This window comes from Homo sapiens, chromosome 10 (assembly GCF_000001405.40).
Source record: "Homo sapiens chromosome 10, GRCh38.p14 Primary Assembly".
NCBI classification, from domain to species: domain Eukaryota; kingdom Metazoa; phylum Chordata; class Mammalia; order Primates; family Hominidae; genus Homo; species Homo sapiens.
The window spans coordinates 1,488,947-1,513,058 of record NC_000010.11 but is presented as its reverse complement, the minus strand read 5'-3'; the positions used below and the strand labels follow the sequence as shown (position 1 = coordinate 1,513,058).

General features: G+C 43.2%; 1 protein-coding gene across 1 annotated transcript in view, besides 3 other annotated features; it reads left to right on the top strand.

Moving 5' to 3' along the window:
- The window catches only part of ADARB2 (adenosine deaminase RNA specific B2 (inactive)), a 560,213-nt gene that overhangs the window by 224,467 nt on the left and 311,634 nt on the right, over positions 1–24,112 (top strand). The gene's annotated exons all lie outside the window — the stretch shown is intronic.
- Positions 12,457–13,656: an enhancer, noted in NCBI's record as "P300/CBP strongly-dependent group 1 enhancer chr10:1541598-1542797 (GRCh37/hg19 assembly coordinates)". NCBI's record gives its function as "activates an origin of replication core promoter dependent on BRD2, BRD4, P300/CBP, MED14 and CDK7 cofactors, with strong dependence on P300/CBP, by STARR-seq in HCT116 cells {active_cell/tissue: HCT116}" and the evidence as "EXISTENCE:reporter gene assay evidence [ECO:0000049][PMID:35650434]".
- Positions 23,622–23,788: a silencer, noted in NCBI's record as "fragment chr10:1531466-1531632 (GRCh37/hg19 assembly coordinates)". NCBI's record gives its function as "represses an EF-1alpha promoter that drives an FKBP-Casp9 reporter gene in an ReSE screen in K562 erythroleukemia cells {active_cell/tissue: K562}" and the evidence as "EXISTENCE:reporter gene assay evidence [ECO:0000049][PMID:32094911]".
- Positions 23,931–23,980: an enhancer, noted in NCBI's record as "active region_2902". NCBI's record gives its function as "activates an Ori minimal core promoter by ATAC-STARR-seq in GM12878 lymphoblastoid cells {active_cell/tissue: GM12878}" and the evidence as "EXISTENCE:reporter gene assay evidence [ECO:0000049][PMID:35858748]".

Here is a 24,112-nt window from a genome sequence, read left to right as displayed (position 1 = left end):
CTACTCTCTTGGCAGATTTTCAGTATGCAATGTCATCAGCTGTAGTCTTCATTCTTCACGTTCGCTCTCCAGACATCGTCACTCTCCCTGAGTGTAAATGTGTCAGGTGAACTTTAAAGTAAGCAGCTTGGCAGAGCCCATTGTCTTTACCAAGTCGTTGTTGATTTCCTGCTGTGCGAAAGGCTGGTGGCAGACGTGGGGTGAGCCCAGCACAGACTCCAGATGTGTCCCTGGCATGACAAGATCAGCACACAGCTCCTGCATCTCACTGGGACACGTAAGAGCACCTGCTCCACATCCCTGGGGGACAAACAACTCTTCCAATGTCCACACACCTTGCTTGTGGCTGAAGCTATGACCCCTGAGAAGGTGTTGTCTGGCAATGAGAGCAGAAACTTGGAGGGAAATAATTTGCTTCAGAATCATGTGCTCTTGAATTTGCATCCCAGCTCTTCTCCATGTCATGAGACTTGGATTTATTTGGAAATAGCTTCCACTCTTTGGACTTCAGCCTTCTCATCTAGGAAATGCATATGATGATACTGACCTCATTCTGTTGCTTTGAGGATTAGATGGCCAACGTGAAACACCCATCTTGGTATCCAGTGTAGACAGCATCAAAGTCTTGGTATCCAGTGTAGACTTAATTGATGTATTGGTATCCAGTGTAGCAGCATCAGCATCTTGGTATCCAGTGTAGACAGTATCAGCATCTTGGTATCCAGCATAGCAGCATCAATGTCTTGGTATCCAGTGTAGACAGCATTGACATCTTAGTATCCAGTGTAGAAGCATCAACGTCTTGGTGTCCAGTGTAGACAGCATCAACACCTTGGTATGCAGTGTAGACACCATCCATATGTTGGTATCCAGTGTAGACAGTATCAAAGTCTTGGTATCTAGTGTGGACAGCATCGATGTCTTGTTGTCCAGTGTAGACAGCATTGACATCTTGGTGTCCAGTGTAGACAGCATCAACATCTTGGTATACAGTGTAGACAGCATCCATGTCTTGACATCCAGTGTAGACAGCATTGACCTCTTGGTATCCAATGTAGACAGCATCCATGTCTTAGTATCCAATGTAGACAGCATCAAAGTCTTGGTATCTAGTATAGACAGCATAAACTTCTTGGTATCCAGTGTAGACAGCATCCATGTCTTGGTATCCAGTGTAGACAGTATCAAAGTCTTGGTATCTAATGTAGACAGCATCGATGTCTTAGTATCCAGTGTAGACAGCATTGACGTCTTGGTGTCCAGTGTAGACAGCATTAACATCTTGGTATGCAATGTAGACAGCATCCATGTCTTGGTATCCAGTGTAGACAGTATCAAAGTCTTGGTATCTAGTGTGGACAGTATCGACGTCTTGGTGTCCAGTGTAGACACCATCAAGATCTTGGTATCCAGTGTAGACAGCTCCATGTCTTGGTATCCAGTGTAGTGGCATTAATGGCTCATATGTGTGCTCAGCCAATCCTTCCTCGGCTGATTCTTCACTCCTTTCAGACCGGGCTCACAGATGTAGCATCAAATGTTGACACTGCCCCCACCCCCCATTCCACAGGAATCCCTACCTCGTTGACTTTGCTTTTCTGTTCTCCATGTAACTTCTCTCCCCTTGGCACATCCCACACATGTCTCCCCTCACTGGAATAGGAGCTACCTGAAGAAAGAGAGTCCCCCTTTTCTGTTTACTGTTGAATTCCAGGCATGAGATCAAAGCCCACCATGGGGTAGGTGTTCAATAAATATGTATTGCTTTAACAAAAAAGGCATTCTGATACATAATCTATCCGTTGAACATAGCACTTCACCTTAGCTTTTAACAATATTATAAGTGCATCCACCCGATACGCCCACCCACCCCAGCAGCACAAAAATAAATGGATCAAAACAAGCAATAGAACAGGAGCCAGGCCCGGTGGCCACATCTGTAATCCCAGCATTTTAGGAGGCCAAGGCTTGAGCCCAGGAGTTCAAGACCAGCCTGGCCCATGTGGCAAAACCCCATCTCTACGAAATAATTTAAAAAATTAGCCGGACATGGTAGCATGCACCTATAGTCCCAGCTACTCAGGAGGCTGAGGTGGTAGGATCACTCGAGCCAGAAGGTTGAGGCTGCAGTGAGCCATGATCATTCCAGTGCACTCCAGCCTGGGTGACAGCGTCAAGAAAGAAAGAGAGAGAGACAGAGAGAGCTTTGGAATTGAGAGTTCCATCTATAATGGTATTTGATGATTACTGGTTTTGTGGCAAAAGCTTTCAGTGTTCTAGCCTGGCTTTGGGCTAGATTCCAGTGAAGAAGGGACTGTAGGGGGTGGGGGAGTCATTAGTCTGAGATTCACAGTAATTACGATAATTACAATAGAATCACAAAGGACTCTAAGGTGTCATTGATTCTATCCTTCATCTCCAAGGTCTCCAGATAGATGTATGCATATGAAATTCAACCAAGAAATGATTCCCACAGTTAGTTTAAGACACCTTTCAAATTTTAGCTTTGGTTTGAAAATAATCATTCGGCAATGGGTGTCCTCAGTGGTTGAAAACAACAGCCAGAAATCACTTCTGGTGCCTGCACAGTGGCTCACCCTTGTCATCCCAACACTTTGGGATGCTGAGGAGGGAGGATTGCTTGAGCTCAGGAGTTCGAGACAAGCCTGGGCAACATAGTGAGACCCCAACTCTAAAGAAATGTCAAAAAATTTGCTGAATATCATGGCACGCAGCTGTCATTCCAGCTACTCATGAAGCTGAGACAGGAGAATCACTTAAGCCCAGGAGCTCAAGGCTGCAGTGAGCCGAGATTGTGCCACTGCACTCCAGCCTGGGCAACAGAGCGAGATCTTGTTGAAAGAAAGAAAGAAAAAGAAAGAAAGAAAAAGAAAGAAAGAAAGAAAGAAAGAAAGAAAGAAAGAAAGAAAGAAAGAAAGAAAGAAAGAGAGAAAGAAAGAAAAGAGAGAGAGAGAGAAAGAGAAAGAAAGAAAGAGTGAGAGAGAGAGAAGAGAGAGAAAAGAAAGAAAGAGAAAAAAGAAAGAAGAAAGAAAAGAAAGAAAGAGAAAAAGAAAGGGAAGCAAATGGGATTTTAAGACGTCAGAACCTCAGAAGCAATGCAAGCATTAAAGCATAATTTTAAGAAGCTCCCTCCTTGACATAAAGAAAGAAGAAAATAGCCAGGCCCATGGTTTTGTACCACAGACATGGCTTTAGCTGATGCCCCTTTAAGATAAGATCCCTAGCCAGGCTCTCATCTGAATTCCCCTTTCCATTTCGCAGCTGTTACAATGTTTTCCAAAAAGGCTCTGGAGCTTAATTTGGATTTGAGCACTTTTGAGCCTGCACGGACCTAATGAGAAACTGCACATCAGCAGTCTGGTGCCACTTACACATCCTTTTCTCAAACAAATAATCTAATACCTCTTCTGTGAGTCAATGAATTTATTAAAGACAAATAGTCAAGCCTATCTGCAAATCCTGCAGAATCCAGCATTTTGACTAAATGACATTTAGCCAAGTTGTAACTCTAATGGCAAAGAAAACAGTAGCAGCTCGGGCTTAAACCTCTGTCCCCGGGTGAATATCATTTCCAATATCCTGTACAAATTCTTTGAAGGATTTGTGCCTGACGAACCCCCGAGGGCTTCTTCAGAATTAGTTAATAGTGAGAAAGCATCGAGCTAAATTTATTGGTTATAGTCCCCATGATTGCATAAAAAATAAAATTAAAAGCAAGCCTCTGAAGAATGGTTTATCAAGCTTGGTAATGGTATCATCTCCGACAGTGAGGTCATAAAAGCATATTAGTGACCCCCTGATGGAACGTGTTTACTGCAGAAGTCAAAGAGATTGATCATTTTACCCAGGAGGTGGCATTCAGTTCAACATACTGTTGCTGTTAGTCTGAAAAACACGCTAATCACCGAGGGCATGGCACGCAGTGAAAGCAGGAAACGAGGCACGATTATCGAGGTTTTTATAGATGGACCGGCTCCTCCCGGATGCTACAAAATAGGATCTATTCATAGACTCCTCTTCAAGAAAGGCACCAAACTCCTCGCTTAGCTCCCCAGCCTTCATGCTGAGGCCCAGGGACCGCTGGGCCAGACGACTTCTCACCTGAAGCCAGAGGAGAAGGAAAGGCCTCCGCAGAGCCTGGGTTCACGGCTGGGCTTTCAGGAGCTCTGCAGCCTTCCAATGTCTACTAAAATCAAGGTTGATTTCTTAGGGACTGACAGAATAAGCACGACTTCTTTCCTTCTTTATTTGTTTTGAGATGGAGTCTCGCTCTGTCACCCAGGCTGGAGTGTAGTGGTGTGATCTCAGCTATCTCACTGCAACCTCCGCCTCCCGGATTCAAGCGATTCTCCCACCTCAGCCTCCTGAGTAGCTGGAAATACAGGTGCCCACCACCACATCCGGCTAATTTTTGTACTTTCTGTGGAGACGGGTTTCACCATGTTGGCTGGGCTGGTCTCGAACTCCTGACCTCAGACAATCAGCCGGCCTTGGTCTCCCGAAGTGCTGGGATTACAGGCGTGAGCCACTGTGCCCAGCTAACACGACTTCTTTAGAAGCCAGCGTGAAAACAATAATGTAGGCAAGTGACTCCAAGGGCCTCCTGGGAGTCTCCCAACGACTCTGCCAGGCAGGTTTACTGGGTTCTCCCCATGTTTGAGAGAAGGAAACAAGCTTCATGCTCACACATAGCTTGGCCAAGCCGAGGTCCAGACGCAGCCTCTGACCATAGCGTGTGTCTTCACCAGCTGCGGGGACAGCACTGACGTCCATTGAGGTTCTGCAAGATGCCTGTCCTGGGGATGGATGGAGGTCGGTGACAGTGAGGGCTCTCAACCACCAAGGGGCCCTCAAACGCATCCTATTCATCCAACGCCAACACCAGTGTCAAGGTCTCGCTGGCCGTGTGCTGCTGGATAATTCACGTTCACACGCGACCTCACTTGACCTTCCTGATGAACGCACCACTCGGGAATTGTGTGATCTCCCTTGTGAGATTTAGAAAGGTGAGGTTTCCCCAAGGTCACACAGTCGTCAATTGTGGAACCTTGGACCAGACATCCCTAAAATTAAAGAACAGCCCTGACCACGTTACTAGTTCTGAAGGACCCAGAGGCCAGTGGAAGAGCCATCGCTGCCTGTCCCACCCTGGAGAAGACGGCAAGAAGGGCACCATGGTCAAATCCAGGACTGGGAGGGCTGGCTGCTCCCAGCTCTTCTCCTCCAGTTCTCCCCGTGTACGTGCCAGGAAAGCTGCGTATGCCTAATGAAGTCACTGTACACCCGCTATCTGGCACTTAGGACTCACAACAAGCGGGGGAAACCCCTTCAGACAGCACCCTGCCCCTCCATCGAGTCCTGGAAGACATTGGAACTCGGCCTGTCTCTCGTCCTGAGCCGGTGCCCACACAGGAGCTACACTGGTAGATTCCAGTCCCTGCCATTCAAAGCTGCCACCTGGTCGAGGGTAAACATCTCCAGACGGAGCTCACGTTTCCCTCTAGGCAGTCGTCAGATTCACGTAGTAAAGGAAGCACTCAGAAGGGACTGCCATGTGTGCTCACGAGGGGCCTTGAAGGGCAGTGTGAGCAGAAGCTGGGGTGTGTGGATAGCAGGGAGCTCCGGATGCAGCCTGGTGAAGGGGGCAGGTGCAGCCTTCCTGTCCGGTGCCAAGGCTCATGCCAGCCTCTCCAGTGGGTCTGGTCTTGCTCCCTCCTGACTCCAGGGCCTCCTGAGGTTCCCTCACATAAAACGAGCTCCTCTTCTACAGCCAGCACATCTGAGCCCACTCTGTTTCCTTCCTCTGTAGCAGCGTCAACTCCTGTCTTCCTGGCTTCCGTATTTATTGATCACAGCTCTGCCCTCCTATAGGGAAGTCACTCGACAGCCACTGGAAGAATCAGTGAGTAACACCCTAGGACTCAGAAGTGCTTCTGTCTCGGCCACCGTCTTGGGCAGCCATAGCAGCGGGGCACAGACTGGGTGGCTTAGGCAGTGGACGTTGGTCCCTGAGTGCCACAGGCTGGGAGCCCACTGTCCAGGCAGCAGATCCGGATTGTGGGGAAGACCTGCCTCCTGACATCCTGGCCTCCGACCTGCAGCCAGCCACCTGCTCACTGCGTCCTCACACGGCAGGGATCGGAGAGGGACGAAACCAGGGCCCTCACGTTTTTCCTTAGAAGGGCACTGATCCCATCACCGGGCCCCACCCCCATGACCCAATCACCTCCCAAAGACTCCACCTCCTAATGCCATCCCTTTGGGGTTGGGGTACCAACATAGGAATTTGGGGGACCCCACAGCCAGTCCACAGCGGGTACTTATAGCAAGTTTCTCCCCTACATTTAATTTTCCTCTTTTACGAGATGAACAGAGTAGGAATCTCCATCTCCCAGGGCTGTGTGGACAGCCACATGAGACCCTGCACAGTGGGTCGGCAGGACGCCTGGAGCCCACATGGTCCTCAGTAAATAGAGCTACCGTTCTTAGCATTACTACAGTTTTCTTTCTAGAAGGGCATGCCTAGACAGGCTGTCGCTGAAACTAACAGAAAAGCGCTGCAGAGTTTTGCTGGTGTCTGGTGCTTGGGAACATGAGCCTCAAATATGCAAATACCGTAGTGGGGGAATTGAACAGCCTGTGGGCTTCCTGCTAGACCTGGGACTTTTATCATCTGGAAGCTTCCATTAGGCATTCCAGCATTTCCCCCCCATAAATAATAAATATTATGGGCAGAATTTCTCTATTTCAGAAGGGTTGCAGGAGGAGAAGTTGAAATGAGCCGCACGACAAAATTCAAACTTTTATAAACAAATTCAGTTGTCGTTAAATTTCTTCCTGACCAATACCATAATATTATTCATTTCTACCTGAAAACCATTCCAAAGGACCGTCATGACAGACAGTAAAAAGTCCAATAGGTGACATGCACATCATCTTCCCAAAGACACAGTCACATGCACTGTTTCTCTTAAAATCTGATAATAGATTATCAGATAAAATAATAATCAGATCATAGATGATCAGATTTTAAGAGAAACAACCAGAAACGATTAGATGATTATTAAAGTGTGCTCTGATTTTGATACCAAGAATGGAAAAAGTCAAGGAAAAGGATACATTGAAAGATTATTTATTACTTTTTTGTGAGATGTCATGCACTCACTCACACAGAAATAGAACACGATGGAGCTTCTGGCTTGGAGTCCTCCTAATTCAAGAAGATGTCTGGAGTGCAGACGGTGGGGACGGGAGTGGCAGAACCACGGGCATGGGGAGGCGGCTGCCATGGTGGGGACGGGAGTGGCAGAACCACGGGCATGGGGAGGCGGCTGCCACGGTGGGGACGGAAGTGGCAGAACCACGGGCATGGGGAGGTGGCTGCCATGGTGGGGATGGGAGTGGCATAACCACAGGTGTGGGGAGGCGGCTGACGCGCCTGGCTGGGGCATGGTGAGGCTAACTGGCTCAGGGCTAGACACACTGGTTTCAATTCAGGCAGAACGAGTGTTTTCCGAGGGAAGATGTGTGTGGATGTGAGTCAGACGACACCTTAGAGAAATCATTTCGCCTCCCTAAGACAGCTAACTCAACCATAAAACTTCCCTGGAAAGGAAAACTGGCATCTGAGTTATTTGTTGCAAAAAAAAAAAAAACAAAAACCCTCCGATCCCTTGCAGGTGCCATCTTCCCTCTGTGCTGTCATCTTCCTCAGCGTCATCATCACATACACACTTTCCAACAACGCAGGATGCGGGTTAAATGGGGCAATGCGAGGCACACAGTGAGGCTGATTTGTCATTGGTGTGTGTGTTTCTGTGTGTGCATGTGTGTCTCTGTGTGTGTGTCGGTGCCTGTGTGTTTGTGTTCATGTGTGTTTTGCGTGTATCAGTGTGTCTGTATGTGTGCATGTCTATGTTGTGTGTGTCTGTGTGTGCATGTGTGTGTGTGTCCTGTGTGCATCCGTGTGTGTCTGTATGCATGTGTCTGTGTGTCGTGCATGTGTGGCTGTGTCTGTGTGTTTGTGCATCATGTGTGCATGTGTGTGCATTGCATGTGTATGTGTGTCTGTGTGTGTCATGTGTGTCTCTGTGTATATGTACGTGTGTGTGCACGCACACGCATGTGTGTGTGTTTGCATTCCTAGAACCTGGGTCCCAGATTCAGGGATTTCAGTCCAGAGTAATTTCAAAAAAGAGTGCCAGGCACAGCATGAAGCCGGCAACAACTACCCCCTTGTATATTAATAGCAAAAAATGAATAGTAAGAATACTTTTTAAGAATTTTTTAAATATTGAAAAAAATGTAGCTTTATACAAATTTTACTTCAAGGTCATTGTTTTTCTCCTTTTGTCACGGAAACGGTCCTGGACTGCCCCACCTGCAGACTGGCTTTTTGCAGCAACTGACCCGTGTAGTCAGCCAAGCAGTCCACAATATTTCACCACCACGGCAGGAGCTCCATGTGAACGTCCAGGCCCACGCACGTGGGGCTCCACGCAGTGCACAGCCAGCCGAGTCAGGGGTCTGCAGCAGAACTCCCTAACAGGGCCGGGCTGGCTACATAATGCCCGCGTACACACGTGTCTGCAATGAGACGTGTACTCAGACACACTCAGAATGTCCAGCGCCAGATGCATTATTTCCCATTAAAGAGGGGAAAAAGTAAGGGGTGGGCTGAGTGTTGGAAAAATGAAAGTGTTGGCTTCATGGGAGAAAACAGTAGGACTGGCTTGTGGGCTGTGAAGAAAGGTGTGCAAGTGTTGCCTGGGACAGAGCATGCCCGCTCACAGTGTGAGAGCTGCTGCTGGAAGCGATGGGCTCCGTGTTGAGGGATTTAAAGGGGGTTGGAGCTGCAGATCCAGGACCTCAGCATGGAAGTGAAGGAGCCAGTTTAAGCAACGGAATCCAAGTTCACTGAACATGCCACTTCCATGTCATTTGTGCCTGCTTCATGAAATACTGGCAGAGTGAAGGATTGGGAAAGAGGCTGAATGATCAAAAACTCCTACTCTCTGGCCTGTATTAAGCCATTCTTGCATTGCTATCAAGAAATACCTGAGATTGGGCCATGTATAAAGAAAAGAGGTTTAAATGGCTCACGGTTCTGCAGGCTGTACAAGAAGCGTGAAGCTGGCATCTGCTTGACTTCTGGGGAGGCCTCAGGAAGCTTCCAATCATGGCAGAAGGTGAAGACAGGGCAGGCATGTCACATGGCAGAGTAGGAGCAAGGGGGCGGGGCGTGGGCAGGGCTACACTGTTAGAGACCACATCTAGCCAGAGCTCACTTACTATCACGAGGTCAGCACCAAGAGGATGGTGCTAAACCATTCATGAGAAATCCGCCTACATGATCCAGTCACCTCCCACCAAGCCCCACCTCTAACACTGAGGATTACATTTTAACATGAGATGTGGATGGGGACACAGATCAGAACCATATCACGGCCCTTTATGGAAAATATTTGCTGACCAAGATCTATATCGTGCTGTATAAAGGAAATGATACAATGAATGTGAAGGGCTCACAGGTGCTAAAAGGGGGGCTGAAAGGGAATTGACTGCTTTTGTGCTTCCCTGTGACTTATCAAGGTCTTTGGGGGCACAAGGAGGTCTCTGGAGACCAGAAGTATGAGACCAGCCTGGGCAACATGGCAAAACCCCATCTCTAAAAAAAAAAAAAAAATAGCTGGGTATGGTGGCGTGTGCCTGTTTTCCTAGCTACTCAGGAAGCTGAGCCAGGAGGATTGCTTGAGCCTGGGAGGCAGACGTTGAAATGAGCTGCACTCCAGCCTGGGCTACAGACTGAACAACAACAACAAAAAAATCCCTTCACGAAAGCCTGATATTGCATAATCCATGGTTCTCTTCCTAAAAATTAAATATGTATGTGTTATTTTGAGGAAAATAATTTACTGAGTAAAGCTCTAAATAGTGGAGATAGCTGCTGTATTCTTTTAGATTTTTCCTTGGATGTGCATATGATACGTGTGTTTAGGGTTAATCTCATTGCTATTCCTTAATGCTTTCTCCAAAAGTTATTTAAAACATAATTAAGATAATATGCTAGATTGCCGCAAAAAATAAGGAAATGAATAAGATGGTGACAGAAAATAAATGGCACCATATGCTCATGCTATTACCAAGATCTCTCTGAAATGCAGACATCTTACCAAAATTTATTGAAAAATAATTCTTTCTTGCATGCTTAAAGATTTTTAATGCAATAACCAGACAACATGATCCCGTTTCTTTTTCCATCTAAGTGTTGTGAGAAAACAAATAAAGATTAAAGTAACACAGGTTAGAAAATGGATGTTTTAAACTACACAACCTGGACTTCACCCTGAGGCCCAGCTCATGCACCCGAGTGACACCCACTCAGACTTCCGTCCACAGGCCAGAGGCCCTGACAGAGGCAGGACTGAGGCCCCTGCAAGCGGGTGACAGTTCCTTTATTGCAGCTTAACTCCTCTTCAAACACAAGTAAATTTAGTAGATTTGCTTCTTCCATGGGTTGCCGTGTCACTGATTCAAGCCTGGGAGGGGTGACCCAAAACCTTGCTGGGAATCTCAGGATTTTGAAGGAGGCCTATAGTTTGCAAAAGCACCTTTTATTGCTTTTGAGAGACCAAGGATGTGTGGGTCTGCCTGTGAGCACACGGTCATATACCTCTCCAGAGTATAGAACTAAACCTTCTTTCCTGGTGTGGGTGCACAAAACTTAAAATTAGAAATGCTCCAGGAAGTAAGGGGTCTTCAGCATGACTGGCTGGACAGTTGTGGGAGATGCAGCATCACAGAGCCCCGCTGGGGGCAGCAGGTGCAGGAGGGGCCGGGCCCCCACTGAGGCTGGTGAACGAGAAGTCTCCTTTCGCTGTGAAAGCAACAGCTATTGTGTCCGTTCTTGATGGCACCCAGGTGGACACTGTGTGGCATCCTTCCTTGCCAGTTTACCTGGTGGTCAGTGATCAGCCTCAATGTTCTGGAAGTTTCCTCACGATTGCAGTTTTTATTGCAGATCTCACCAGGCTATTCCCACAGGTAACATCCATGGACCTGCTTTGGTACCGGGTGCAGTGGTGACCCTTCAGCCAGGCAGAGTTCTTCGAAAGAAGAGAATAAAACCTTAATCCTGTCCTCTGCCCAGTTGATTAATGAATCAAATGGCTTTGTCCTTAGTTGAAACACTGAATTTCTGCCCTCCAGGTTCTTGTCAGTGAATAAAAAAAGAATTCTGTTTTCTAATCCTCCTGAAATGCCCAGTGGGGAGAAATGATATTTATGGAGGATTGGCTGAAGGACATGAAGTCCATAAATTCCCCTGGCTAGTTTACATTTTACCCTTGGATCAAAACAGGCTACTGGCGAGCAATATATTCGAGCTGTTTTGATTGGGCCCCTCTGTGGAATTGCTTTCTGCTAAATTGATTTTTGCTATTTTTCATTTTTAATTGAATTAAAGATAATGGTAATAAACAGACACATGAATTGGTTTGTGTACATGTTGTGGGGGAAGAGAGAGAAAGAGCCATTCTAATGCAGATTCTTGAGTTCCACCTCCAGTGACTCTGATTCATGTAGGGCCCAGTACTCTGCAATTTACCAAACTCCCTGAGGGCTTCTGATACAACTGGGCTGTGTGGCACATTGAGGAGAATGCTGCCTTTGAGAAATCGGAGAAAGTTCTGGATATTTAACTCTAGAAAAATCATGTATACATGCACACCAAATTCTGTGTACAATTCCAGGAGACTCAAAACTGTTTCCCTACATAGCTAGCAAGTTAAACTCCCCCTTTTACTGCAGGAATGTTTAAGCTGCCCAAACACACTACCCATCACTTCTTTAAAAAGGTACACTAGAGGCCAGGCGTGGTGACTCACGCCTATAATCCCAGCACTTTGGGAGGCTGAGGCAGGCAGATCACGAGGTCAGAAGTTCAAGACCAGCCTGACCAACATGATGAAACCCCGTCTCTACTAAAAATACAAAAATTAGCTGGGCGTGGTGGTGCATGTCTGTAATCCCATCTACTTGGGAGGCTAAGGCAGGAGAATCGCTTGAACCTGGGAGATGGAGGTTGCAGTGAGCACAGATTGGGCTTCTGCACTCCAGGCTGGGAGACAGAGCAAGACTCTTTCTCAAAAATAAAAATAAAGTAAAATTTTAAAAGGTGCACTAGAGAATATGACTCTAGGTTTCAGGGACAGCACAACAGTGCTTTTCCAGAACAAGTGTTTTGTTTTTATCCCATGATTGTTGTGAATCTTGCAAAGGTCAGAATAATTTCCTTGCATTGGCAGCTAGGAAGCTCCTGTCTAAATATGCAGCCCACCTATAACAGCTGGGCAAGATTAAATGTTTTTGCTGTGTATCTATTTTACCTCTCTTTTATCGCCCTAATCAAAATTTTCTTTGCTACAATTCACCCCAAAATTATTTTTACCCTTTTGTGCTGTAGGTGTTTATGAAGAACTAAAAATATAATTGACTAAATTATTATTTTATGTTAGTAAATAAGTTGTCATTTAGAATCAACCTAGAAGTATCAAGATGCATTTGGGAATTGCCACTGTTTTTGTCATGCGGCCTTTTTGGCAGCTATGAAAACAGAATTTCTACTGGAATAATTGCTTCAAAGTCATGCCGATTCTACCTTCTATAACTTTCCAAAGACAGAGAAAAACACACCAGCACTTTGATTCATGTAACACTTAGGTTAAATGTCCTTAGAGTTCAGGGAGAAAACTGAAATAACAACAGAGAACAGACAGGTCATTACACATGGGGTGAGACGGTAAGTGCCTAAACAAGAACACGGGTGGGATGATGGGAACAGGGCACTTCCGTGCTGGGTTCAGTGGGAGGCACTGCTCAGAAGCAGGGACCCAGGCCTGACAAACAACTCCAACTCTTCAAAAGAACTCTTGAATCTAGCTTTTCTGTGTAGAACTATACAAAAAATTCACAAAGCAAGTGATACCTAATAAAATACGTTGTGCAGTTCATATGCAACCTGTGGGCTACCATTTTATAGCTGATTAAGGGTTAAAAGATATCAAAATCACTTCTTCATGTAGTCAGAGAGGTACCTATATTGGTGACTGAGTGTTGAGTGAGTGATGAGTAATGAATGAGTGATGAGAGATAAGTGAGTAATGACTAAATGATGAATGATGAGTGAGCAATGAGTAATGAATGAGTGTTAAGTGATGAGTGAGTGATGTGTGAGTAACAAGGGAATGATGATGAGTGAGTAATGAGTGAGTAACAAGTAATAAGTGAGTGATGAGTGAGCAGTGAGTGATGCATATGAGTGATGAATGAATTATGAGTGAGTAATGAGTGAATGATGGCTAATGGGTGAGTGACGAGTAATGAGTGAGTGGTGGGTGATGAATGAGTGGTGAGTGGTGAATGATGAGTGAGTGTTGAGTAAAAATGAGTGGTGGGTGATGAATGATGAGTGAGTGATGAGTGATGAGTGAGACATGAGCGAGTGATGAATAAGTTTGAGTGAGTAATGAGTGAGTGATAGGTGAGTGATGAGTAGCTGACAACTGAATGATGAGTGAGTAATGAGTGAGCGATTAGTGAGTAATAAGTAATAGAGTGTTGAGTGAGTGATGAATGAGTAATGACTGATACATGGGTAAGTAATAAGTGAGTGATGAGTAATGAGTGAGTAATGACTGAATGGTTAATTCAGTGAGTAATGAATGCGTGATGAGTAATGAATGAATGTTGAGTGATAAGTGAGTGTGAGTGAGCAGTGAGGAATGATGAATGATGCATGAGTAATGAGCGAATGATGAGTAATGAATGAGTGTTAAGTAATGATAAGTGATTAGTGATGAGTGAATGATGAATGATGAGTAATAAATGAGTAATGAGTGAGTGATGAGTGATGAATAAGTGTTGAGGGATGAGTGAGTGATGAGTGAGTAATGACTGAATGATTAATGAAGAGTAATGAGTGAATGACGAGTAATGAGTGAATGATGAGTAATGAATGAGTGTTGAGTAATGAGTATTGAGTGAGTGATTAGTGAGCGATGAATGAACACTGAATGATGAGTAATAAATGAGTAATGAGTGAGCGATGAATGATGAATGAGTGTTGAGTGATGAGTGAGTGTTGAGTGATGAATGAGTAATGACTGAATGATAAATGATGAGTGAGTAAGAGGTGAATAATGAGTGAGTGATGAGTGAATAATGAATGAATGATGAGTAAGTGATGAGTCAGTGATGTATTTCTAAACAACATTTTTTGATTTTGGTCATTTCTGAAATTTATACAAAAGTATATGTCTGTAACTTGTGTTTTACGTCTTTCATTCACCATTGTATTGGTGAAATTCATCCATGTTACTGCATGTGTCATGTTTATTATATTTTGAACACATTAAAATTTTGAACACATAAAATTATTCATTCTAACATAGATGGATGATTTCCACTTTTGGTTTTTATAAACAGTAATTTTTTTTTGTATCCTAGGAATTTCTCTTGTTTATAAATGTATCAGTGAGATTACCTGGTCATAGGCCATGTGTATTTTCACACATATGAGATCACTCCAAATAGTTTTCTTTTCTTTTCCTTTGTTTTTAAAAAAATTACTTATTTATTTATTTATTTATTTATTTATTTATTTGAGACAGAGTTTCACTCTTGTTGCCTAGGCTGGAGTGCAATGGTGTAATCTTGGCTTACTGCAACCTCTGCCTCCTGGGTTCAAGTGATTCTCCAGCCTCAGCCTCCCAAAGTAGCTGGGATTACAGGCATCTGCCACCATGCCTGGCCAATTTTTTATATTTTTAGTAAAAATGGGTTTCACCATGTTGGCCAGGTTGGTCTTCGAACTCCTGACCCCAGGTGATCCACCTGCCTCAGCCTCCCAAAGTGCCGGGATTACAAGCGTGAGCCACCATGCCCAGCCCAAACAGTTTTCCAAGGCATCTACTGACTTATACCACCACAAGCACTGAATGAGAGTTTCTGCTTTTCCATATACACACAAATATTTGATTTAATGAGATTTTTTTATCTTTGCCACCCAGAAATGTTCATTTTCTCTACCTCTAAAACTGAGTTATTCTCTCCCATCCCACCCAGACACATTCTCTTCCATGCCTCAACTTCCATGCCCTCCAGGAAGTCATCTCCACCTCATCAACCAACATTAAACTCCACCCCCTTCAAATTCTATGGAATTTATACTTAAAGTGGTTACTTCTGCAGATATCTCAGGAATGTATGTGAGATCCCCTCAATTAACTTATAAATGATTGGAAAATAGAAGTGACATTTATATATAATTTTATTTCCTCAGAACAAGTTCTTTATGAAATATAATTTCAGATTGAAGAGATTTAGGATTAGTGTATAAAAAGCATAACTGATGCTTGTGCCTGTGTGTGTGTACATATATATGTAATTTATAAATAGTTTTGAATCAATTATTTATAAGAGAAAGGAGAACAATAAGTGTTTAATACAACTGAGAGGAACTGATGAATTAGAAAATGGTTTCTAAATTAGCCTTTATTTCAAAAAGCTCTTTCTCTAAAATTTGTCTCAAATGAACATGTGTTTTCTGCATATTTCCACAAACTTATTTAGAAATTTTTGGTGAGTCTCTAAAAATGGAGAGGAACACTATTAAATGTGCAATATTTCATATGATGAAGGCAGTATATACAAGTGGTTTGGGGCACGAATTGTCTAATCAAAAAGACCCTAGTTCATACTCAGACTCCATCAGTTAACACCTGTGCTTCCTTGTATACATTACTTAATCTTCATAAGCTTGGTTTTCTCCTTGCAAAATGAAGATGTTAGTAAGGATATTGTGTGACATTCACAATAACTTCTTAGTCAAGTGTTATTATTATTATCCCATTTCATTGATGTGACGACTTAGGCTTATAGAACTTAAGGGGCATACCTGAGATTCAAAAGCCAGTGACAGGGTCACTGTCACTGTCACAGGTCCAGCTAGAGGCAGGGCTGGACTAAGGTCCTCTGAGTCTGCATTCCAGGTCCTTACCACTGGGTCATGGTGCTATAAATATGTATCTAAGACCTCTTAATATGTGGTTGTTTCTACTTAATGTCTCAGCCTAAGAAGCCAAAGTACACAGTAATTTCCCTATTGTTCATAGCCCAGTGTGCGTTGCTCTCCGTATGAGGAAAGTTAAGTTACATAATGATAATGATGACAATGTTGGTGATGATGATGATGACGGTGATGATGATGCTGGTGATAATGACAATGATGATAACAGTGATTATGTTGATGCTAATTATGGTGATGATGACAATGGTGATGATAATTAAGTTGATAATGATGGTGATTATGATGAATATGATTATTATGATAACCATACGATGATGATGATGATGATGAAATGATGATAATGGTAGATTGATTAGTATCATCAATGTTGACACTAATGATGGTTATGATGATGACTATGATGATGATGATAGCAATGAAGATCATGGTGATGTTGGTGATCATGACAATGATATGGTGATGGTGATGACAATGATGATGATGGTGGTGATAATGTTGATACTAATGATAATGTTGATACTAAATGATGATGAAGATAGGATGATAATGTTGGTAATAATGATGGTGATGATGACGATGATGGTGGTGCTGATGACAATGATGATAATGGAGGTGACGATGTTGATACTAATGATGATGTTGATACTGATGATGGTGACTATGATGATGATAAAGTTGATGATGATGGTGCTGATGACAATGATGATGGTGATAATGACAATGATGATGATAGTGATGATGTTGATACTTATTATGGTGATGATGACTATGATGATGATGGTGATGATTATGTTAATAATGATGGTGATTATGATGACTAAGATAACGATAATGATGATGATGGTGATGACGATGATGATGGTGATGACGATGATAATAGTGATGGTGATGATGAAGATAATGATGTCAGTGATGAGGTTGATACTAATGATGGTGATGATGATGACTATGATGATGACAATAGAAATGATAATCATGGCAATGATGGTGATGATCACAATAATGATGGTGATGGTGATGACAATGATGATGATGGTGGTGATAATGTTGATACTAATGAAGGTGATTATGATAATAATGATGGTGATGAAGATGATGGTAATGTTGATGACAATGATAATGGTGGTGATGATGACAGTGATGATGATGGTGATGATGTTTATACCAATGATGATGATGATAACAATGATAATGATGATGATGATGGTGATGATGACTATGATGATGGTGATGATTATATTAATAAGTATGGTGACAATCATGTTAATAATGACAACCATGATGACTAGAAAAGTTTGTACTTTTCATCATATTCTAACTAATGGAATGGAATATTTCTAAGGCTCCTCTAAAGCTTACCACCTTAAAGACTGGAGGCAGCTCCAAATCTTTTCTAAGACTATGTTCTGCCAAAATGTAGCATTGGGCTGGAATTCTATTCATCAACCTGGGTATAAATGTTTAAACCCATTGCATAGTAGTGTTGTATTGGATTTATTTTCATTTGGCAAAATAACCTCTATGATATTTTTTATTAAATTCAGAACTTATGAGATCTCCTTTTGTCCTTAGCACAGCAGAAACCCTCCGAGGAGTTTTGTAAATAAATGTGAACGTGAACTACTTGATATACCTTGCATGTATTTGATATACAACTTGAATGTTTCCTCCAGCATGAATCTTCTAACTGGTTGCTTTTTATTGGCAATTCTCTTAAAGCCATGTGCTTTAATGGAAGAAATATTCTTGCAAGGTTGGTTTTGTAGCAGACTTAAAGGAGTTCAGTTCACCAATTTCTACTAATTATGATAAAAAGCAATTTTCCAATCAGCTAAATCATGTAAACTGTGGTCTAAAAATTATTTTAACCAGAATCAAACTATTTAAAATTAGGAGATAATCCAAGACTTCCTACTAAAACATATATATAAATTATGCCTCTGTTTTGGTTGAGAATTTAAAGTAGAAAAAAAGAGAAAACCTAGAAAAATCTTTAAATCTTTTATGTTTTTAGCAAGAGATAGCTCCAGATTTTCAAAGTAGGAGAGACTGTAGTTTGGAGAATGGGTGATGGTTCATCCTGAAGCTGCAATAATCCACCAGGTGTACTTCTACTAGATTATACATTTGTGGAGGGAGGTTTGGAGCACATGGTAAACGTTTGGGAGGTCAAAGACCCCCACAACTCACCCCTTGGCTCCACCTGAATTTTGTATTTCGGAGTCAGAGAGTAAGCCTAATTCCATTTATTTGTACAATTATTTAATCACTCTAAAATGACATGTTACTGTTGTCACCTGGATATAGTAAGTTTGCCATACTTCAAAAAAAAAGTGGAGCTAAAGGGTACTCAGCAGTTGATGTTCTGCCAAGCTGAAAATAACATTTAACAGGCTTTTAATCTATTGTGTGGGTTATTGTCCCCAAGAGTGCTGTTGTAGTCCACAGATTTGAAAAAGTAGAACAAAGGGTCATTTTTGCTTAGCATTCATAGCTGGTGGTGTTATTATTATGGCTTTAGTAATCAAACAGGTTCACCAACAAGTACACCATTTCCATTTACCATCTATGCAAATATTTACATATTTCAAAGTAAATAAAGAACAGAAATCCAGACAGGACACTATTCAATCAAAAGTAGTTGATTGACCTCAGACCCAAAGCTGCCTCTCAGGAGACATGGATATTGTCTATGGGCTCATTCCTTCATAATTTTAAAGTCTATTTATAGGAGAAAAAATGGAGGAAAATATACTTAACATTTATTCCTGTGTGTGATTTTGCTAAATTTTCTATTGAATACCTAAAATTAGCGTCCTGAGTAAGAAACCATGCAAATGGATCATTCTGGTCTCTTGTAAACCAGGTACTATACTTGGCATAAGAATGCCCTATTATGGGCCAGGTGCGGTGGCTCACATGTAATCCCAGCACTTTGGGAGGCCGAGGCAGGTGGATCACAAGGTCAGGAGTTGAAGACCAGCCTGGACAACATGGAGAAACCCCATCTCTACTAAAAATACAAAAAATAGCCAGGCGTAGTGGCGCACGCCTGTAATCCCAGCTCAGGAGGCTGAGGCGGGAGAACCGCTTCAACCCAGGAGGCGGAGGTTGCAGTGAGCTGAGATCGTGCCATTGCACTCCAGCCTGGGTGAAAGAGCGAGACCCTATCTCAAAAAAAAAAAAAAAAAAAAAAAAAAAAAAAAAAAAAAAAAAAAAAAGAATGCCATATTATGCTGTGCCTAGAATAATAATGCTTGGATTCCATCTCTACTTTGCACATTAAAGACAGGATCACACCAGTCTTATAGTATGGTCCTCTCAGCACTGAACAATGGACAAACACTTGGTAAATTAAGGAAAGAATTAATTAATTGAGGAAATAGGTTCGGAGAGATCAGCAAGAGGACCATGAATCAAGTGTGAACTTGCACTTTCTGATTCCTTAGTTCATTCTTTGTAGCACACAGAGAAACAGACCAATTTGCCACTATTTTATCCTCTGAATCTTTATGTATTCATTATTGTGACCTGAATCTATCATGGTCTGAAACTAAACTATATCTACTTAATACAAAAATATACCCAAAGAAATAAACAAAAAGATGGAACAAAGCTACTGACTGCAAATTAGCACTTAAAAATTAGGAATTTAAATTTTTCTGTAACCTGCACCACCTAATACTTTATAAATAGCATAAATACTTCCATTATCCAATAGCAAAAATAAAATACTATGATAGATACTATGTTGCCAAAAATTGGAATCCTGATTTGATTTCTGAGTCTGGAGCCAATTTCACTGACTTAATCGAAGTGTACATTAGGTGGTGGCTGTTGCATGCTTTAAAAGTTCTGATGAAGCATTTTTACAACTATTGAATAGCAACAGAAAATGTCATGTCACAAACTTTAAAAATGTGCTGTGACCTGTCCCTTTTAGGGTTTTAAAGTCACAGTCCTTCTTGGGAGCATTTCGTGTGGCCTTGCTCGGCAAGTGCGTGGGGATTAGATGCTGGCATCAAGGCCTGAGCTCCGTGTCAGCAGCGACCTGTGTTTAAAGCTCTCCCAGGCCTCTCATGGTACTTGGCATGAAGTCCAAGCACATCACCTCCCCCTACAAAGCCCTGCTCTCCCTCCTGGCCTCGTCTCCCACCTCCTTCCCTACCTGCTCCCCTCCAGCTGTCTTGCCCACCTTCTGATTGTGAGACTCAGAAGGCCGGGGTCCCCCAGCACCCGGGACACTCCCTGACTTGCATCCCTGCCTCCCTCCTTAGTCGAGTCCCAGGTGAAATGCTGCACCTGTAGACAGGTGTTCTTGGACCACCTATTAGCCTTCTAGGGCTGCCAACACAAAGTCCTGCAAACCTGGGCTCTTAAAGCAACTGAAATCCATCCTCTCATAGTTCTGGAAGCCAGAAGTCCAGAATCAAGGTGTCAGCAGGACTGCACTCCCTCTGAAGGCCGCAGGGGATGATCCTTCCTGCTCCTTCAATCTCTGCCTTAGCGTCACGTGGTACTCTCCTGTGTTCCCTCACGACTCTCTTTGATAAGGACACCAACATACTGGACCATGGACCCACTCTACCGCAGTGGGGTCTCCTCTTAACGAGCTAGGACCCAATATCCAAACACAGTCACATCCTGAGGTCCCATGGGTTAGGACACCAACATGTATTTTCTGGGTGGGACACCGTTGAACACATAACAATCCCTATCTCTGAAGCCCCTCCCCCAGCCATTCTCATTCTCATCCCATTACTTAGTTTTACTTCTCTGTGTGGCGCTTATTGTTCACTTATTGATGGTTCACTCTGCCTTCTGCCACTAAACTATATGCTTCCCTGTCTTGCCAGCTACTCAGTTCCCTAAATCAAAAAGCAGAAACTCAATGAAGAGTTATAGAACAAATGAGTGATGCTTATATCACAAAAATGATCTTATCAACAACTATTAAAGGCCAAGAGAGATACATAACAATAACTCTCATTTTGTAGCAATTTACAAATTAGAAGTAGCTTTCTGCTGTCTTATCTCCTTTGATTTTTACAACAATCCAGTTAGACAAGCAAGGGAAATTTATCTACTTTTTAACAGGAGAAACTACAACTCAAAGAGGCGAATCACTCAGCCATGAACAGCGGAGACAGAAAGGTCTTTCCACTCTGATTTCTTTTTCTTTTTTTCTGAAATCTTGCTACAGACAAGCTCCTTGCCTTGTTGAGGGGTAGCATGTATACACAAAAACATAAAGAAAGGTAGGTTATGGCAGGCTCATTGTCAAGTCTAGGGGTAGGATTTTCTCCAGACTGTGGGTCTCATTACATCTGACTTTGTTTATTCCATTTTTAATTTCCACAAAAACAGTGTGTGTTGGTTTTGGGACTCCTTATGAATTGGCCCTGCTAATTGTCAGGCAGGATGACTCTAGAGCTGACAAAATGGTGAAACAAAGAATGGGCTTTTTTGAGTTATCAGGATTTCTTAACATTCTGTAGGCACACAAATGCTAGGTGTCAGTAAGATTGTAAAACTCCAGTTAAATAAAAGGTTTCAAAATGGTTCCTAAAAAGAAATAATAAGCCAGGCACGGTGGCTCATGCCTGTAATCCTAGCACTTTAGGAGGCCAAGATGGGAGGATTGCTTGAGCCCAGGAGTTCCAGACCAGCCTGGGCAACGTGGCACAACCCTGTCTCTACAAAAAATAAAAACAATTAGCCGGGTGTGGTGGCTTACACCTGTAATCCCAACTACTTGGGAGGCTGAGGTGGGAGGATTGCTTAAGCCTGGTTGAGGCTTGTGTGAGCCATGATCATGCCACTGCCCTTCAACCTGGGCCACAGAGCAAGAGTCTGTCTCTTAAAAAATAATAACAATTAAATAAATACATAAACAAAAAGAAATTATAAAATTGTGAGGACTGCAGAAGGCATTTCCTCTGGCCAGTTACTTTTTCATTGTTCCTAAGAGATATGAAGCACCTGCCATGATGTGGACTTCAAGGTCCTCTTCCTTCAGCATGGTAATCCTGTAAGGCTTAGACATGGCATCCTATCTGCTGACGTATGTAGTTCATGAGACAACTGGGGTATGGTCCTTGGAAACAGAGAACCAAGTTCAGCTCTGGATTCTTACTTTCATGTGTATATTGTCTTGGGTGAGCCATTTAACGGCTTATTTAAAAAAACAATAGCAGGCTGGCTGTCTTGGCTCAGGCGGGTGATTCCAGCACTTTGGGAAGCCAAAGAGAGCAGATCACTTGAGGTCAGGAGTTCAAGACCAGCCTGGACAACATGGAGAAACCCCATCTCTACTAAAAATACAAAAATTAGCTGGGCAGGATGGCACACACCTGTAATCCCAGCTACTGGGGAAGCTGAGGCAGGAGAATCATTTGAACCCAGGAGGCAGAGGTTGCAGTAAGCCCTGATTGTCTCACTGCACTCCAGCCTGGGCCACAGAGCGAGACTCTGTCTCAGAAAAACAAAATTAAATTAAAATAAAAATTAAAAGCAGTAGTAAAAGAAACCTCAGAGGATTTTTTCAGTGGTCATTTGAATTAATATATTGGAACTTACCTTGTAAACAGTTAAGTGCTTTCAGATATAAGGTTATCTTAACATTTAACCTACTATTCTTAATTATTATTTCCATATAATCTATAGTATACTATTGCCTGCTATTATCATCCCATTATTGCCTTTCTGAGTGGTGGAATCCTACTCTTCCTCCAGGGCAAGTTCCCAAGGCAAGTCCTGGGTGAAGCCTTCCACTAAAGGGGCTGGCGTTAGGCTTGCTTCTTCTCCTAGGCCGTTGTTAGTGTTGCTTCTTCTCCTGGGCCTCCTGGTTTTTCATGTATTCTCTGATGACAGCATCTTGCACAGGCTCACTTACCTGACAGCTAACGTGTGCTTCTGTTTATCACAAAATTGTCAGTCAGCTGCAAGGCTGAGGTCTTTGTTGTCCGTGCACCTGTAGCAGCAGCTTGCCTAGACAGACCCTCATGATATGAAAGTATGTGGTGTATGGAGACATTTTAATTTAAATATCCCACAGTATTTTGACCCCCTCTCATTCAGGCTCACCAGATATTTCACCCAAGAGAGACACCCAAGAGTGTTTGATCCTAATATGCTAATTATTAGGATCCCTCATCCAGCATTTCTTGTATACAATTGTGTTGGAGTCTCTTCTTCCTTACATATTCTTCTTCTAGGCTTCAGAAAGTGCTGGTTTGAGAAGTTCAGAGTTCGTCTTACCTAAAGACCAGGCAGGTTGAAATAACCGTGGTGTCTTCTGCCTAATAATTGTTACTCAAAAGCATTTGCCATCTTTATAGTTTTCCCAGTGGTTTAAAAAACTCTGAGATTGACTTTGTTGTTTTTCTTCCGCTAATGCAAACAGAAAGCTCGAGACTTGCGGATCCGCTACTAATGGGCAACACATTAAGTGGCGGCTGTGAAGGTATTTGTTCCTCTGGACTCACAGGAAAATGTTAGATCAGAGGATACTGAGAACTGTGACCAGACGACTTGGGTAGATCCACTGCCCTGATTGCAGAAGCTCCCAGAAAGGCACGGTCACGCCTTGCTGAAAGGGAAGGTCAGGTGCATCCGGTGCAGAAGCTCCCAGAGAGGCACTGTCACGCCTTGCTGAAAGGGAAGGTCAGGTGCATCCGGTGCAGAAGCTCCCAGAGAGGCACGGTCACGCCTTGCTGAAAGGGAAGGTCAGATGCATCCGTGGGCCTCCACAAGTGCATGAGAAGTTGATCAATGTCTTAGAGTTTAAGTATCAGGGAGTAACTTTGGCCAAGAAATGAGCAAATTGAGAGACATTTGGCTGCAATACTTCACACAGCCGCGAGAAATCTGGCAGAAGCAAGCCTCACTGATCCGAGGTGCGCAGTCGCGCTTGCTGGCACCCGGCCAGGAGCCTGTGCCCCCTGAAGCTGCACAATCCATCTTCACCTTAGTGGAGGATGCCTTCCAATTTCTCTCAAAAAG